The sequence below is a fragment of the Homo sapiens genome, chromosome 4 (genome assembly GCF_000001405.40).
Source record: "Homo sapiens chromosome 4, GRCh38.p14 Primary Assembly".
Taxonomy (NCBI): domain Eukaryota; kingdom Metazoa; phylum Chordata; class Mammalia; order Primates; family Hominidae; genus Homo; species Homo sapiens.
The window spans coordinates 152,805,175-152,823,266 of NC_000004.12; the positions used below are offsets into that span (position 1 = coordinate 152,805,175).

The window sequence follows — 18,092 nt, forward strand, 5'->3', positions numbered from 1 at the left end:
ATACTCAAAAGCATTCATAAAGATATTGGAAGACCATATTCCATTTATCTACTTCCTGATTGTAAATCTGATGTCAAGGTCTTATGTTGTAAGCAAATGAAACCAGTTCCAGCTCATTTACTTAGAAAAGGGATTTACCAAGAGGCTATGAGGTAGTGTATAGAATTGCCTGGAGCATTGGAAAACCAGAATCCAGGCCCACATATCTAGGAATATTGATCCAAATCATGGTTGAGCAGTGGTCCAATGACGGCATCATTGCTTAACACTGGATTTGGCAGTTTGCACTGCCAATACCTGTAGCTCTGGTGACTGGATGCTGCCACTATGGTCACTTCTGACCTGGAAATTTGATCTTGCTGATTATTTTTGCCCCCTAGTGAGTTCTTTGATATCTTTCTTCGTAACCCTAGTTTCTGATTCTAAGTCTGGGGCAAGTGGGCTTTGATTTGGCAGAGCCTAGATCATGATGGCAGTGCCCTAGAGCTTGGGAAAGAATAGTATTAATGTAACTGAATATAGCACTCATATGTCAAGCGCTCTTCTAAATACTTTATGTTTTTATTTTGTGCCACAACAATGCTATGAGGTAGGTACCATTATCATCTTACAGATGAAGGAAGAGAGCTTTAGGAATTTGCCTAAGGTTCACAGCTAGTGGAGGAGCCATGAATTGAACACAAACAATCTGGCTTCAGATATTTGCTTGAATGTCTGGTATTTTGAGCTTTTATGTAATACAAGGCGGGCTCTGCCCTTTCCCAAGCCTCACAATGTGGAGGCTTTCCCCAACTTTGGTTGGGGCCTGGGGCTGGGCAGCCAAAAATAAGGAAATATACATCATACTTGGCTAAAGTCTTACTTGGCAAACCAGTTATGCCTGTATTGCTATTTTAAAAGATCTAAAATGAGGAACAGAAGAATTTTTTTTCTTCGTGATTGCATTTTATGTTCTGCCACTCTTCAGATATTTGCCTTTCTTTAGATATTCTCTTTGAGGCAGTACTTCTAATTTTCAGACTCTGGATCAAACACAGGGAAAATAGGTTTGTAAATGACACTTAGAACTATGCAGTCATTTTTCTAGTGAGAGAGTATTAGTGTAATTTATTTTTTGTGGGCAGGACACATTTTGGAAAATGACAAACTTCTTTTGCTGCTGGGTTGTGGAGCTGATATAGTTCCTCTTTGTAGGTGGGCACTGTGATCAGGGTCACACACACCTCCCGCCACCAGACTGGTATGGTATGGTTGCTCTCTGGGTGGATTGGGGGCCTGCAGGAAAAATAGGTCCTCTGCCATTAGAGATGATAAAATGTAATTTTTACCTTTTTTTCAAAATCAACAGTTTATTGAGGTAAAATTTACATATAAGTGTACTCATTTAAAATGTGCAGTCTAATGAGTTTTGACACATATATAAACTTGGAAAACCACAGTCATAATCAAGATACAGAATGTTTCCATCACCATACAGTTAGTTTCTTGTGTCCCTTTGCAATCAGTTCTTCCCTACATTACTTGTCTCCCAGGCAACCACTGATCTGTCATAACAAATTAGTTTTGTATGTTCTAGAATTCTGTACAACTGGAATCATAATAGTATGTATTCTTTTTGTGCCTGACTTTTTTTTTTTTAGCTCAACGTAAGTTTTTTTTTCTTTTTCTTTCTTTTTTTTTTTAGAGACAGGTCTCACTCTGACACCCATGCTGGAATGCAGTGGCAGAATCATAGCTCACTGTAACCTTGAACTCTCAGGCTCAAGTAGTCCTCCCACCTCAACCTGCTGAGTAGCTAGGACTAACAGGCATGTACCACCACAGCAGGCTAATAAAAAAAATTATTTTTAGAGAGCATCTCGCTATGTTGCCCAGTTTGGTGTTAAACCCATGTTTCGAAATTAATCAAGAGTTGTTGCATGCATCAGTAGTTCATTCCTTTTGTATTGCTGAGGAATATTTCATTGTATGGATATACCACAATTTGTTTATTCATTAACCTAGTGATGGACTTTTTTTTTTTTTCTAGTTTTGGGTTCTTATAAGGAAAGCTGCTAGGAGTACATGTCTACAAGTAAGGACGTTTATTTTAATTTCTTTTTGGTGAATGTTTTTGTATAGAATGGCTAAGTCATATAGTCAAGTATATATTTACCTTTACAAGAAATTGCTAAACAGTTGTCCAAAGTGAAGTACTTTTTGCATTTCCTACATTCATGTATGCAAGTTCCAGTTGCCCTTCACTCACATTTGGTATTATAGTCATCTTTACTTGAGCCGTTATAGTGGTTATGTAGTGGCATCTTATTGTGGTTTTAATTTGCATTTCCTTGATGACTAATGATGTTGAGCATCTTTTAATGTACTTACTCGCCATTCCTGTACTTTCATTTGTGAAGTGTTCTGTTACGTTTTGGCCATTTTTCATTTGTGTTTTCTTGCTATTGAATTGCAAGAGTTATTTATATGTCTTTGCTGTCAGTCATTTGTCACATATAGATATTGTAACTGATTTTCTCCTAGTCTGTGGTTCACCTTTTTGTTTTTTTTTTGATGGTGTCTTTTGAAAAGAGGTTTTTAATTTTAATGAGGTCCAGATTATCAGTATTTTTCTTTTCTTGTTTTTGCTTTTTGTGTCTAAGAAATTTTGCTTACCCACGGTCATGACTCCGTACTATTCCACCCCAAGATAACCACTGTTCTGCCTATATCATCAACACTTACTGGTTTTCTTTTTGAATTGGATCATGTAATATGTACTCTTTGGTTCTGGTCTCATTTGCTGAACATTATGTCTGTGAAGTTTTTTCCATTTTTTTTTTTAAGACAGAGTTTCGCTGTTGTTGCCCAGGCCGGAGTGCAGTGGCACGATCTTGGCTCACTGCAGCCTCCGCCTCCCAGGTTCAAGTGATTCTCCTGCCTCAGCCTCCCAAGTAAATGGGATTACAGGCATGCGCCACCACGCCTGGCTATTTTTGTATTTTTAGTGGAGACGGAGTTTCTCCATGTTGGTCAGGCTGGTCTTGAACTCCCGACCTCAGGTGATCTTCCCACCTTGGCCTCCCAAAGTGCTGGGATTACAGGTGTGAGCCACCACGCCTGGCCTCCATTTTTTTTTTTTTTTTTTTTTTTTTTTTTTTTTTGTAGCAGTAGTTTGTTGTGTTCTATTGCTGTGTGGTAGTTCATTGTATGACTCCACCACAGTTTATTTGATAGACATTTGGATTGTTTCCAGGTTTTGGCCATTATAGGTAAAGCTGCTATGAATATTCTTGTACTTGCCTTTTAATGGACATGTGTATTTATATTTCTTGGGTATATTTCCTAGGAGTGGAATTGCTGGGTTATAGGATAGTCGTATGTTTAACTCAAATAGTACTGCCAAATAGTTTTCCAAAGTGATTTTTACCAACTTTTACTTGTACCAGCAATGTATAAGAGTCTAGTTGCTCTACATACTGGCTACTACTTGGTTTTGTCAGTCTTTCTAGTTTCCGCCTTCTAATGGGTGTATAATGGTATCTGGTGGTTTTAATCTGCATGACAAGTTGAGCTGAATGACTTTGTAGCTCCTTCCCAATGCTAAGGTTTTCTGTGTGTTTTACAAAGTGGAGCCGGGCGTGGTGGCTTTTGCCTGTAATCCCAGCACTTTGGGAGGCCGAGGCATGCAGATCATCTGAGGATGGGAGTTCAAGACCAACTTGACCAATATGGTGAAACCCCGTGGTGTTTCACCACATGGTGGCATGTGCCTGTAATCCCAGCTCCTCAGGAGGCTGAGGCAGGAGAATGGCTTGAACCTGGGAGGCGGAGATTTTAGTGAGCAAAGATTGCACCACTGCATTCCAGCCTGGGCGACAGAGGAAGACCCGTCTCAAAAAAAAAATAAGTGGCAAGTGTTGTAGCATGTAAACACAGGTCCTTAAATAACAGTAGGTGTTCTTGGGTTTTTGTGTAAATACAAAAGATATTTGTATAGCTAATTTTGCTGTATTAACCTTCCTCTCTTATATAGGGCATGCTTATAGCACTGGTTCTACTTGGCTGCACATTAGAATCACCTGGTGAGCTTTTAAAACTACTTTAAATGCATAGTGGCCATTCATATGGGTCCTGACTTGTAGATGTGTATTCATAGCAGCTTTACTTACGAGAGCCCAAAACTAAAAAAAGTCCATCATTAGGTTAATGACTAAAGAAATTGATATATACATACAATGAAATATTCCTCAGCAATACAAAAGGAATGAACTACTGATGCATGCAACAACTCTTGATTAATTTCAAAAGATTAAAATTATGATCTCCGTGGAGAGGCAGAAAGCTCCCCTAGTAGTTCTGAGATGCAGAGGGTTGATAATCGTTGGCATGTACAAATGGAATATTCCATTGCTTCTCAAGGGGGCTTGCTGTACCCTTTAGGAATGAAGCACCAACTATAAAATCTTTATTAGATATGTGTCATGTTAATTTATCCCCAACTTTGACCCATTGACAGGATTCAAGAAGCTAGTTCCCAGCCTTCACTTTTTTGGTTGTACAATATACTAGCTCTCTAGGTAAGTTCTATGCTCATATTTTTAATTTTGCATTACTCTTCATGTTACAATGCTAATTCTGCTTTTAAAGTACATTCTACATACAACTCAAGAAAATCACCTATTACAAATGCACTCTTTCTGTTAGCACTGGAGCAGTAGTCATGGTCATGTAAGAGTATTTGCTCAGCTTTGATCTTCTCCTTTAACATGATTGTGGATTTAGAATGTACTTGAACTTAACAAGGAACAACACTAAAAAAGGCACATGATTTGATTGTTGCTTTGTAAAATAAAAAAATGAATAAAATGTTCAGTTTTTTGTTTATGAATATAATAGTGAATCTCACCTTCTGTTGGTATGCAGGTTTGGTACATGACGATGCCTTTAGATCATCTCCAAAAAAGTAACATCATAATTGGAATGTGACATCCATATATATTGGATTTTTAAAGATTGTTTCCAAAGATTCAGCTGTACAGAGTGTGTGCCTAATACTTTTCTAACTTGGAAATAATTCAGTGGTGGCTAAAGCTGGCTTGTACTGCCTGCAAAAGCTGATTGGTAAATTTTCAAGAATTTGTAAGCCAACTGTTAAACACAGCCATTATTTTAAAAATTATGTAAAGTTATTATTAAATACATATATTAAAAATAAAAGTAATACCTCCTCAAACTTAGTAGTTCCTAAATATGTTACTGTCTTTTACTGTTATCTGTGCTCTTAAAGTTGTGTCTGTGGTGTTTCCGTGGTAGAAATACAATATGATGTTGTGCTGGTGTATATCTCTTTCTACTATACGATGGTGTGCTGGCCAGGCATGGTGGCTCACGCCTGTAATGGCAGTATTTCGGGAGGCTGAGGCGGGTGGATCATGAGGTCAGGAGATCGAGACCATCCTGGCTAACATGGTGAAACCCCATCTCTACTAAAAATACAAAAAAAAAAAATATTAGCTGGGCGTGGTGGCGGGTGCCTGTAGTCCCAGCTACTTGGGAGGCTGAGGCAGGAGAATGGCATGAACCTGGGAGGCGGAGCTTGCAGTGAGCCAACATCACGCCACCGCACTCCAGCCTGGGCTACAGAGCGAGACTCTGTCTAAAAAAAAAGATGGTGTGCTATTCCACATCTCTTCCTACTATATGATAGTGTGCTGCTGCGTATCTCTTTCTACTGTATGATAGTGTGCTGTGCTTATCTCTACTATATGATGTTGTGCTGCAGCGTATCTCTTTCTACTGTATGATGGTGTGCTATTGCATGTCTCTTTTTCCTGCCTCTGGATTCAGTGAGGTCACGTTCGAAGCTTGAAATTGGCCACTGTAGAAGTATTGGCAACATGGAAATCGACAACAGCCACATGCTAAGGTTAAGCCTTTTTTTTTTTTTTTTTTTTTTCAGTTTGGAAAACTGGTTGTTAAACATTTACTAGCACACCCACTCTGGAGACATTGTTCTTTATTCAATGAATGCCTTCTGTGTGCCGGCTACCCTTCATAAGTGCTTTGAATAAATCTTTACTTAATTTCCTCAAGTATTATCCGATATGTTTCTTAATATTATAGATGAGAAAAACAAGATTAAGTAATGAAGATCAGAAAGCAGCTGTTATATTGTACAGCTGGGATTTTAACCCAAGTCCAAAGCCCTTAGTCTTCTCATTATAGTGTGTGGTATCTCTGAGGCTTTGGAATAAGTTTTATAGAAGAGAGATCATTTGAGCTGAGCCTTAAGTTATGGGCAGGATCTTACTAGATATTGAAGTTGGAAGAATATTTCGAGCATTGTGAACAATTTCAGCAAATGTTCATAGATATCAAAGTACATTTCATGTTCCAGAAATGGTAAGTAGTAGATTCAGTAATAGAGGATATCTAGAAGAGTAAAGTTAAAAGAAGTGAAGCCCGAAAAGTTGATTGGAACCTATTGTGAAGGACCTTAAATAGCCTCAACCTTAGAACAAAAGAGATTGTTTTTATTCCTAAAGGACATAATTATGTCCCAAAGCATTTTGTATAATTATTTTGGTTGTCTAATTTGAATTTAAATTCAATTTCAATTTAAAGCATGAGTGAGGTATCATGTATATTTTTTGTCCAGGGAGATAACATGGAGCTTTTGGTTTGGGGCCTTATTCTGCCGATTTGTATGTTGGCTGTTAATTTTCAGTACTATAATTAATGGTTAGTAAATGATGTTCCCCCAAAATGGGTCATTCTTTGTAGGGAAGAAAATGAATAGATAATAGTTGCAATGTTTGCATATCTTTTGGCAAATGAGTATTCTTGTTACCTACTTTACGGCATAAAGTAGTATTGGTTTATCATTGTCTTTCTGATTTTCAGAACATCGGTTTTTTATTTAAAGTCACAAACCCGGAACAATACATAGTTCCATTGCTGTAATTTTCTCTGCTGTATCTGCATCATGAACCATTTACTCCCCTTACCCCCAGAATCTTTTTTGCAGTATCTTCTGCCTTTTGTTGTTGTTGTTTTGAGATGAGTTCTTGCTGCGTCAGCCAGGCGGGAGTGCAGTGGCACGATCATGGCTCACGGCAACTGTGACCTCCCTGGGTTAAGCAATCCTTCCACCTCAGCCTCCTGAGTAGGTAGGACCACAGGCACATGCCACCAAGCCAGGCTAATTAAAAATAAAAGTACAGACAGGGTCTCCCTATGTTGCCCAGGCTGGTCTCAAACTCCTGGGCTCAGGCCATTCTCCCTCCTGGCCTCCCAAAGTGCTGGGATTGTAGGTGTGAGCCGCCCCGTCTGGCCTTCTCTTCCTTTTAATGTTCCACACGATTCTTCTCTTGAGTTCTTTTGTCATTCTTAACAGTTAATGCCATCCACATCCCTAAAGTGATGATTTCCAGGTTTATGTTTTCAGCCTGGAGCTCTAGACTTGCATTTTGAAATTCCAAATGAACTGGTGGACTTGGATACCCCACAAACATTCTCAAATTCAGAATGTCTACACTAGACTCAATCTCTGGCCTTTCCAAGCCAAATAAACCTCTTGCTTTCCTTATTTTGGTGAGTGACATGTTTATCTTTCTAGTTGCCCAAGCCATAAATTGGAGGACAGTGAGAAGAGGTAGGTCATTCTAGATTCCTCCTTCTTTTTCATTTCCACAATCCAGTTACTCTGTAAGTCTCTTATTTCTGCTTCCTTAATATCTGTTGAATCCACCTTTTTTCATTCCCACAACTTTGATTCCAGTTGTTATGATTTATTGACTATATTGTAAAATAGTCTTTCAAATAGCTTTTCTGTCTTCAGTCTGTGATGCTTTCCTTCAGTCTAGCCTCCCACCAGGCTGTTTAAAATACTGTCAGCCCTCCCTGTCCATGAGTTCTAATCCATGGATTCAGCCAACCTTGGATTGAAAATATTTGAGGGGGAAAAACAATAAAAAATAATACAGTGTAACAGTTACTTATATAGCATTTGCATTGAATTAGGTATTACAGATAATCTAGTGATGATTTAAAGTGTACAGGAGGATATGCATAGGTTATATCCAAATATTACATCATTTTATATAAGGGCCCTGAGCATCGGTAGAATTTTGTATCCATGGGATGGGGAGTGTGGGCTGGGGGGTCCTGGAACCAGTCCCCCACAGATACCAAGGGATGACTGTAAATTGATCAGACTCCTCTTGCTTTCTTATTCCTTTCAGTTTTTTGTTTGTTTTTATGCTTCTCTACTCTGCGTTTTTCCTCTCCTCCTCTTTTCCTGCCTTTTCATTTATTATTTGATAATCTGAATATTTTTAATGTTGATTATTGGAATATTTTTATTTGAATTCCATTTTTATTTTTCTGATTACTTTTTAGCTGTACTTCTTTGCATTATACTTTTAGTGGTTGCCATAGGAGTACAGTATATATCCTGAAATTTTGTAGTCCACTTACAAGTAATAATGCACTGCTTCACTTGAAATACAGAAATCTTACAACCTTTTAGGTCCATATTTTCCTTACCTTTCCCCTGTTTTTTGATAATAATTGTTATTATAGATATTATATCTTGATACATATTAAGCCCCAGAAGATAATCTTATAACATTTTCTTCAAGCAATTATGTGGATTATAAATAAATTAAGAGGAAAAGGCAAAAGGGAAAAAATAGGGTTATTTTTTGTATTTACCAAGTTATTTACCGTTTCACTTCCTCCTCCTTCTTTTCTGAAAATCCACCTTTCTCTCTGATTTCATTTCCCTTCAGCCTGAAGAACTTCCTTTAATATTTCTTGTAATGCAAGTCAAGTCTTTTGGTTTTGTCCAAAAATATCTATTTCTCCTTTATTCGATATAGAATTCTAGGTGGACAGTTTTTCTTTTGTTCTTCTTCTTCTGTCTTCTTTCTTCTTCTTCTTTTTTTTTTTTTTTTTTGTTTCACTCTGTCACCCAGGCTGGAGTGCAGGGACATGATCATAGCTCACTGCAGCCTCGACCTCCCTGGGCTCAGGTGATCTTCCCACCTTAGCATCCCAAATAGCTGAGACCACAGGTGCGCACCACCATGCCTAGCTAATGTTTTTTGTATTTTTTGTAGAGACGGGGTTTTGTCGTATTGCCCAGGCTGGACTTGAACTCCTGGGCTCAAGCCATCCACCCATCTCAGCCTACCAAAGTGCTGGGATTATAGATATGAGCCACCACTCCTAGCCAGTTTCTGTCTTTCATCACTTTAAAAATGTTTCAGCTCAGGTGCATTGGTTCATGCCTGTAATCTCAGCACTTTGGAAGGCTGAGGTGGGAGGATCATTTGAATCTAGGAGTTTGAGACCAGCCTGGGCAACATAATAACACCCTGGTCTCTACAAAAAATTAAAAAACAAAAAATTAGCCAGGCATGGTGGCACACTGAGGTGGAGGATTGCCTGAGCTTGAACAGTCAAGGCTGCAGTGATTCATGATCACCCTATTGCACTGCTAGCCAAGGGCAACAGACTGGGACCCTGTCTCAAAAAATAAATAAGGTAAGATAAGGTAAGGTAAAGGTAAAAGAATAAGCAAAAGTAAGACTACAACTTTCCCCCTGGGTACCCTGGCCACTGCTGGATGCACAGCATGGATAGCACTTAGCTCAAAGCTAAAAGCCTAGGAGACGGAAAGTTACTTGCATAGATCCCTGTTTCCATTCTGCAAGTGAGCACGACCTCCCCACCAGAGTTTCTGTTTACTTTCTGATACTTTCAGGGGATTTCTTTTTAAATTGTGTTCAGTTTTGTAGTTGCATTCTTGCAGGTGTGGGGAGGTTCAGTAGGGTCTTTGTCATCAGTCTCAGAAGCAGGAACCTGTGTTCTTTTTACCTGTCCTCAGAAGCCCCCTGTTATGTTTCTCCTTCTACCTTACATGCCATTCTTTATGAGTTTTTTCTGCTAGTGCCTCTTCATTTCCCTGTATCTCAGATTTTGGGATATCCCAGAGTGTAGTTTTTAGATTCTTCTGCTTCTTTTTTTTTAATCTCTACAGACTTTCTAGGGCAGGAGTCAGGCCAAATCCATGCTCATTCATTTGCATACTGTCAGTGGCTGCTTTGGGATTGCAACAGCAAAATTGAGTAGTTGCAACAGAGACCTTATGGCCCACAGAGCTTTAGATATTTACTGTATGACCCTTCATAGAAAAAAGTTGTTGACTCCTGTTCTAGGTGATCTCATCCAGTCAGAGATTTAAGTGCATTTACACACTGATGTCTTCTAAATTTCTTATTCCCAGCTTCAAGCTTTTGTCTGGACCTCAGGCTCATAAATCCAGTAACCTACTTACCTTCTTTGCTTGCATATAATAGGCTTGTAAACTTTGATATGTCCTAAACTAAATTCTTGATATTTCCCTTACATTGTGCTCTTCCCCCAATCTTGTCCAATGGCAATTCCATCTTTCCAGCTATTCAGCCAAAACTCTTGAGAGTTATCCCTGACTTCTCATTTTTCCTTATCTCACATCTGTCTGTAAGGAATTCGTGTTGTCTTTACCTTCAGAATATACCTGTAATCTGACCACTTCTTTTTTTTTTTTTTTTTTTTTTTTGAGACGGAGTCTCGCTCTGTCGCCCAGGCTGGAGTGCAGTGGAGGGATCTCGGCTCACTGCAAGCTCCGCCTCCCGGGTTCACGCCATTCTCCTGCCTCAGCCTCCCAAGTAGCTGGGACTACAGGCGCCCGCCACTACGCCCGGCTAATTTTTTGTATTTTTAGTAGAGACGGGGTTTCACCGTTTTAGCCGGGATGGTCTCGATCTCCTGACCTCGTGTTCCGCCCGCCTCAGCCTCCCAAAGTGCTGGGATTACAGGCGTGAGCCACCGCGCCCGGCCATCTGACCACTTCTTTACATCCTCAGCTACTGTTCCCCTACTCCAAGCTACTATCATCTCTTGCCTAGACTATTCCAGTAGGCTCCTAATTGTTCTCCTTCTGCCTGTGCATGATTATTGTTTAATTCCAACACAGTAGCAAAACAACAGTACTTTAAAAACCTGAGTCAGATTGTTTTACCCCACTGTTCAAAACTCTCAGCTAGATTTTCATCTTACTCAGAATAAAATCCAGAGTTCTCGTGATAATTTTTGAAGTCACACACGTTCTTGCCACTGGCCATCTCTCTGCCATTTCCTCCTTTTCTCCCCCTTGCTGTCTTCCCTCAAACCACCTGGCCTTCTTGCCATTCCTTGAAAAGCTGAGCATGATACCACCTCCTGATACTTGTACTTACTGTTCTCTCTGCCTGCAGTGTTGTAGCTGTCTTTATGACTTACTCCCTCACTTTATTCAGGTCTCACAAAAATATACCTTTTCTGAGGTTTTCCCTGACCACCATATCTAAAACAGCACAAGTGTGAACACATATACACATACATGACCATGAACATTTATGACTATATGACATGTATATTTGTTTGTTTTTCCCAACTAGAATGTAAGCTCTATGAGAGCAGGGGGCTTTGTCCGTTTTGTTCTTCACAAAACATCACAAAATATACTGTATGTCTGAAATTGTACCTAGCACATTATAGAGTTTGATAAATTAGTTGGACTGATGAATGTGTGAGTGAGCAATCACCATTCTAGCCAAGTTGCTTTACTTGCAGTTTCTAGAATATATGACTCTTTTTCCACTCTCCTTCTTATTCCTCCTATTGAGGATCTTTCCTTTACTATATTCGTAATCTGTTATCGTACAAGATTTAGCTTAAATGTTACCTCTGTTAAGTTTTTCATCTTATTGCTCACAACATTGTTTCCCTCTTCATGCTCACAACACTGATTATAATTTTTTATCTGCCAAAAACACTTTAAGTTTCTAGAAGGCTGAAAACTGATTTATATTTCTGTTTTATCTCATGCACATTGCCCACAATAGTAGGTATATAGTAAATACCTGTTGAATCACCAGCTGTTTTTAGGAGGAATGAAGTAGAACATAATAGCGTAATTTGAAAAGGTAGTGATTATTTAGAGAGCTGGATCTTAGTCTTCCTAATTAGAGTCCAAATACTAGTGTGTGTATATCTCTTATTTGCAAGGAACAGAAACTTAACTCCAGTAGCCACAAATAATCTAGATGTAGTGTGAGAATGCAGTGACAGGAAGGAAAATAGGTATTTCAAAAATGCCAAGACCATTAAATGGAGACAGGATAGTCTCTTTAACAAATCATGCTGGAAAAACTGGATATCCACATGCAAAAGAATGATGTTGGACTCTTACCTCACACCATATACAAAAATTAACTCAGAATGAATCAAAGACCTAAATGTAGACCTAAGACTATAAAAGTCTTAGGAGAAAACAGGAAATGTTTTCTGACATCTGATTTGGCAAGGATTTCCTGGTTATGAAACCAAAGCACAAGCAACAAAAGTAAAAATAGACAAATTGGACTAGAAAATGAAAAACTTCTGTGCATCAAAGGACACAACAGAGTGAAAAGGCAACCTATAGAATGGGAGAAAATATTTGCAAGTTATGCATTTGATAAGAAGTAAATATCCAGAATATATAAAGGACTTGTATAACTCAACAACAACAAAAACCCCCTAACAACCCAATTTTAAAATGGGCAAAGGACTTGAATAGATATTTCTACAAAGATGATATACATGTAGCCAACAAGCATATGAAAAGATACTCAATATCATTAACCATTAGGGTAATGCAAATCAAAACTACAATGAGATATCACTGTACACTTATTAGGATGGCAGCTATTAGAAAAAAACAGTAAATAACAAGTGTTGGTAAGATGCAGAGATTGGAATCCTTGTGCACTGATGGTGGAAATGTAAAATGATGCAGCTGCTATGGAAAACAGTATGGTGGTTTCCCAAAAAATTAAAAATAGTTCTTTTTTCCCCAAGATGGCAGACTGGAGACATTGTTAGCATGCCTGTCCCACTTGGAAAAACAAAATAGTGTGTAGAAATTCACACTGTGAACATTTTTCCAAGAAGCAACATAGGAACTTAACAGAAAAACGGAAACTACAGACCCTCTGAAAGAAGCAGCAGGCAGTAGCCTACACCATGAACCCGACAGAAAATGGTGTCTCCAGAGCTTGGGAAGGGGAGAGACAGCTGCCGTGACACACACTCCCACTGGGGAACCCAGTAATCCAGGCCATGAGGGGAAGGCTTTAACCCTGTCCAGCACTGGAGCTGATTTAGTGAGCAGTGGGGAATATATGGGAAGGAGCCCCATCAGGATGGGCTTTGCATGCACGCCCAGACTCCAGCAGGGACGGAGGGAAGCCATTCCCTATCACAGGGGACCTCATGTCAGCTAACTCAGGCTGAGGTCACAGGTTGAGAGAAGCTCCCAACTGAGATTTGTGCTATAAACTTGAGTGAGGATGAACACCTTTGGCCAGAATTAAGGGAGGAACAGTAAGTGTGCTGTAGCCACAGGCACAGAAACTGGGCACTCCTGCTTCCACAGACTGGGAATGGTGTTTCTCGGAAACTGTGATTTCTGTGTCTCTGAATAGGTTGGTGGCCTGGGGGCAGTTTTGCCTTCCAAATGTAGGCTGCCTAGGACCTAGGTGGCTGCTGCTAGCAGAACACTATGGGTTGTGAGACCTGCCTTGCCAAGTGCATAGGAGCTGAGTGGGACTTAGTGCTGCCTGCAACCCCTCCTTCCCACGCAGATTCTTTTGTACAACAAAAGCATGTGCGCTTCTCCCTGGAACATTACCCCAGCAGCCAGGAAACTACCTTCTGAACACAAGGTGCTGCTGCTTGTGCTCGTACCTGGGGAGCCAGAGAAAGGACTTGCCTGACCCAGCCCCCACCCAGCTTTGCTCCTTCACTTGCCCTGGTCGTGTAACACAATGGGCAGGGGCCTTTGGGAACCCCATGGCCCTGCCCATTACCTGAGGCAGCAGAGTACCTCCCCTGGGTAACATAAGGCAAACACAAATTCCACCACTACCACTGTAGCTGGTGCAGTTGCAAGTGCTACCTCCTGGCTGATGGACAGCTGGCACAGCCCCGTTACAGCATCTGCAGGCACAATAACACAGCACTCAGGAAAGAGAAAACTGTGGCATGACCTCAACTATTGCCATCGCCTGCATCACCCTGGCTAACTAGAAGGCCTTCAGTCTGTTCATGTACCCAGTACATTACTGCTATGCTGGCATTTCAGAAAGGCAACACACTAAGGCTCTTTACAAGGAAATCTCCATCTACGTCACTTCCCTCCCACCCCCATCGGAGCTGCTGCTGGTACCTGCTGCTGGGAGACTAGAGGACAGGTTACGTCACTGAATCTACTGCAGACATTCCCCAGCACCAGCCTGGAGTATGGCAGCTTCACTGGGCAGCTACACCCAGAGGAGCAGCAGGATTCACAGTATGGGCCCTCAGCGACTGCTACTCCTAGGGGAAGGGAGTGAGTGAGTGAGCCACATTAAGGGAGTACCCCGTGGGACAAAGGAAACTAGACTGCAGGCCTTGAATCCATGAATTTTCTACTTGGGGGAAGTTTCTTTCAGCAGAGGCACAAGTGCAGTTCTGGGCTTGGTAGACAAAGTGCAGCTCTACCTCAACAGTCAGGCAGCCCTGGTGCTCCTGAAGGGTCTTGGAGAAGGAGATTACTTCTCCCTCTTGCCCACCACTGCAAACATAGCTACAGCTTCTCCTAGGGAGCTCATTGCGGGTGCCTCTTTAGACAGCATTTCTGGAACATTTCAGGGTGACTACATCCACATAGGAGGAGTGCCTTCCAGATTCAGGTTTGCATGAGAGGTGGAGTCACAACTCTTCTGTATGTGTAACATCAGCATTCCTGCAGATGAAAAGAGGTGCCTGTCTGTGATCTGAATAGCTGGAACACTGGGTCAAGAGTGTGATTGGGAGGTAGACTGCTTTCCTGCTGGCTTGGAAGAAGAGCTGTGGTGGCCCCCCCACCCCCAAAGAAGACCTCAGTGCATTTCACCGAGAGCTTCCACAGCCACTTCTGTCAAGGCTGGGACCTCTGCCCACCATTGCAGTATTGCATTTACCCACCTGTCTTTGCTGCGGCCAGTTTTTACCCATGGGCACCTCCTACTGGCATAAACCCTGAACTGTTCAACCTGGTGAATAAAATACTGGGGAAAAAAATTTAGAAAGTGCACACTACTGGGGAACAATAAGCTTCATGAGACCTCTGCCATTCCAGCCCCATAGGAGACAGTGAACCTTCTCACACACTGTATTAGTTTGTTCTTACATTGCTAAAAAAACTATCTGAGACTGGGTAATTTATGAAGAAAAGAGGCTTAATTGGCTCATGGTTCCACAGCCTGTTCAGGAAGCATGGCTTGGGAGGCCTGAGGAAACTTACAGTCGTAGTGGAAGGTGAAGGGGAAGCAGGCACATCCTATATGGCTGGAGCAGGAGGAAGAGAATGAAGGGGGAAGTGCTACACACTTTGAAACAACCAGTTTTCATGAGAACTCACTATCGCAAGAACAGCAAGGGGGAAATCTGCCCCCATGATCCAATCACCTCCCACCAGGCTCCTCTTCCAACATTGGGAATTACAGTTCAACATGAGATTTGGGCAGGGACACAAATCCAAACCATATCACACACCCAGCACATTTCTCCTGCGACTGGCATCTGGCAAAGCCATCACACAAAGACTCTACATAACCAAGGAACTCATACAGAGTCTTCACCACTGAAAGCACCCGGAGCTGAAGCTAAGTGACAATAAACTACAAACATTTAAGTCACATGCTCAAGGGGGAGAAAAGGAAATTTTTAAAAGAACCCAGTACAATAAAAAATAAATTCAAAAAATAGTTAGAAGAAATAGTCTGCTCACATGAGAAGGAACCAGAAAACTAATTCTGGCAATATGAAAAAACAGAGGGAGAGTCACCCCCAAGAGATCACACCACTTCTCCAGCAGTGGATCCAAATTAAGATGAGATCTTTGAAATACCAGATAAAGAACTCAAAAGGTTGATTATTAAGTCACTGAAGGAGATACAAAAGAACAGAAAGGCTAAAACCAACATAAATTTAAAAAACAATTCAGGATATGAATGAAAATTTTCTAAATTGATATTTTAAAGAAAAACCAACCAGAACTTCTGGAAGCGAAAGACATATTTAGGGAACTACAACATGCAGTGGCAAGCTTTAACAATAGACTAGACCAAGTAGGAAAAAGAATTTCAGAACTCAAAGACAAGACTTTTGAATCAGCCCAGTCAGACAAAAATTATGACAGAAGAATTAAAAGAAATGAACAAAGTCATCCGGAAATAGGGAATTATACAAAATGGCCAAACTTAACAATTATAGGTGTTCCTAAGAGAAGAAAAAGAAAAAAAAATTGGAAAACTTATTTAAGGGAATAATTGAGGAAAACTCCCTGGCCTTGTTGGAGATTTAGACATCCAAATAAAAGAAGCTTAAAGAACTCCTGGGAAACTCATTGCAAAAAGGACATCACCAGGGCATATAGTCATCAGGCTATCTAAAGTCTGCATGAAGGAAAGAATTCCTAGAGCAGTTAGACAAAAGCATCAGGTAACCTATAAAGAAAAACAGACTAACAGCAGACTTCTCAGCAGAAACCTTATAAGCCAGAAGGGATTGGGGTCCTATCTTTAGTCTCATTAAACAGAATAACATCCAGCAAAACTAAGTTGTATAAATGAAGGAGAAATAAAGTCTCAAGACAAGCAAATGCCAAGGGAATTTGTCAATACTAGACTAGCCCTACAAGAAATGTTAAAAGGAGTTCTAAATCTTGAAACAAAAGGTTGATACATATCAGAATAGAAATTTCTGAAGGCATAAAATTCACAAGGATTTCATAAAACAATAATACAGTGAAGAAAACAGTCACTAGGTAACAACATGATGATCTATTTAAAAGATACAGATTGGCAGAATGGATAAAAAAATTGCAAACCAAGTATCTGCTGACTTTAGAAGACACAGATAACACATAAGGATTCTTACAGACTCAAGGTAGAGGGATGGAAAAAGATTTCGCACAAGTTGAAATCAAAAGCAAGCAAGAGTAGCCATTATATCAGATCAAACAGACTATAAAAGCAACAGCAGTAAAAAAAAAAAAAAAAAAAAAAAGACAAGGTCATTATATAATAGTAAAAAGTTCAACAAGAAAATGTTACAGTCCTAAGCATATATGCACCTAACTTTGGAGCTTCCATGTTTGTAAAGCAATTACTGCTAGACCTAAGAAAAGACACAGACAGCAACACAAAAATAGTTTGGGACTTCAGTACTCCACTGGTGACAGTAGACAAATCATTGAGGCAGAAAGTCAACAAAGAAACACTGGAGTCAAGCTACACTGTAGAACAAATAGATCTAACATATTTATAGAACATTCCACCCAGGAACCGCAGAATAAACATGATTCTCATCAGCACACACAACATTCTCCAAGGTATATCACATGATAGGCCACAAAACAAGTCTCAATAATTTTTTAAAAATCAGAATTATATCAGGTATCTTCTCAGATCACAGCAGAATAAAACTGGAACTCAATTCTAAAAAGAACCCAAAACCATACATAGACATGGAAATGAACAATCTGCTCTTGAATGTTGTCTGGGTTAACAGTGAAATGAAGATGGAAATTTAAAAAATTTTTGCAGTGAATGATAACAGTGAAACAAGTTTTCAGAACTTCTGGGATACAGCAAAAGCAGTGCTAACAAATGTGCTAAACACCTACATAAAAAAATATGAAATATTATAAATTGGCAACCTAACATCACACCTCAAGGAACTAGAGAAACAAGAACAAATCAAACCCAAAGCTAGCAGAAGAAAAATAACAAAGATCAGAGCATAATTAAATGAAATTGAAACAAAAAAATACAAAATATCAGTGAAAAAAAAGCTGGTTCTTTGAAAAGATAAGCAAAACTGATAAACTACTCGCTAGATGAACCAAGAAAAGAACACAGAAGATTCAAATAATCTCAATTGGAAATGAAAATGGAGACATTACAACTGCTACCACACAAATACAAAACATCATTCGAGACTACTGTGGACAC

The 18,092-nt window shown here is 39.9% G+C and overlaps 1 protein-coding gene across 6 annotated transcripts in view, besides 1 other annotated feature; it reads left to right on the plus strand.

The window, feature by feature from the left end:
• Nucleotides 1-18,092, plus strand: part of ARFIP1 (ARF interacting protein 1) — a 132,404-nt gene that overhangs the window by 25,221 nt on the left and 89,091 nt on the right. The gene's annotated exons all lie outside the window — the stretch shown is intronic.
• Nucleotides 3,316-3,997: an enhancer, noted in NCBI's record as "OCT4-NANOG hESC enhancer chr4:153729642-153730323 (GRCh37/hg19 assembly coordinates)". NCBI's record gives its function as "activates a minimal SCP1, AML or CMV promoter by ChIP-STARR-seq in naive and primed H9 embryonic stem cells {active_cell/tissue: H9 hESC(naive and primed)}" and the evidence as "EXISTENCE:reporter gene assay evidence [ECO:0000049][PMID:30033119]".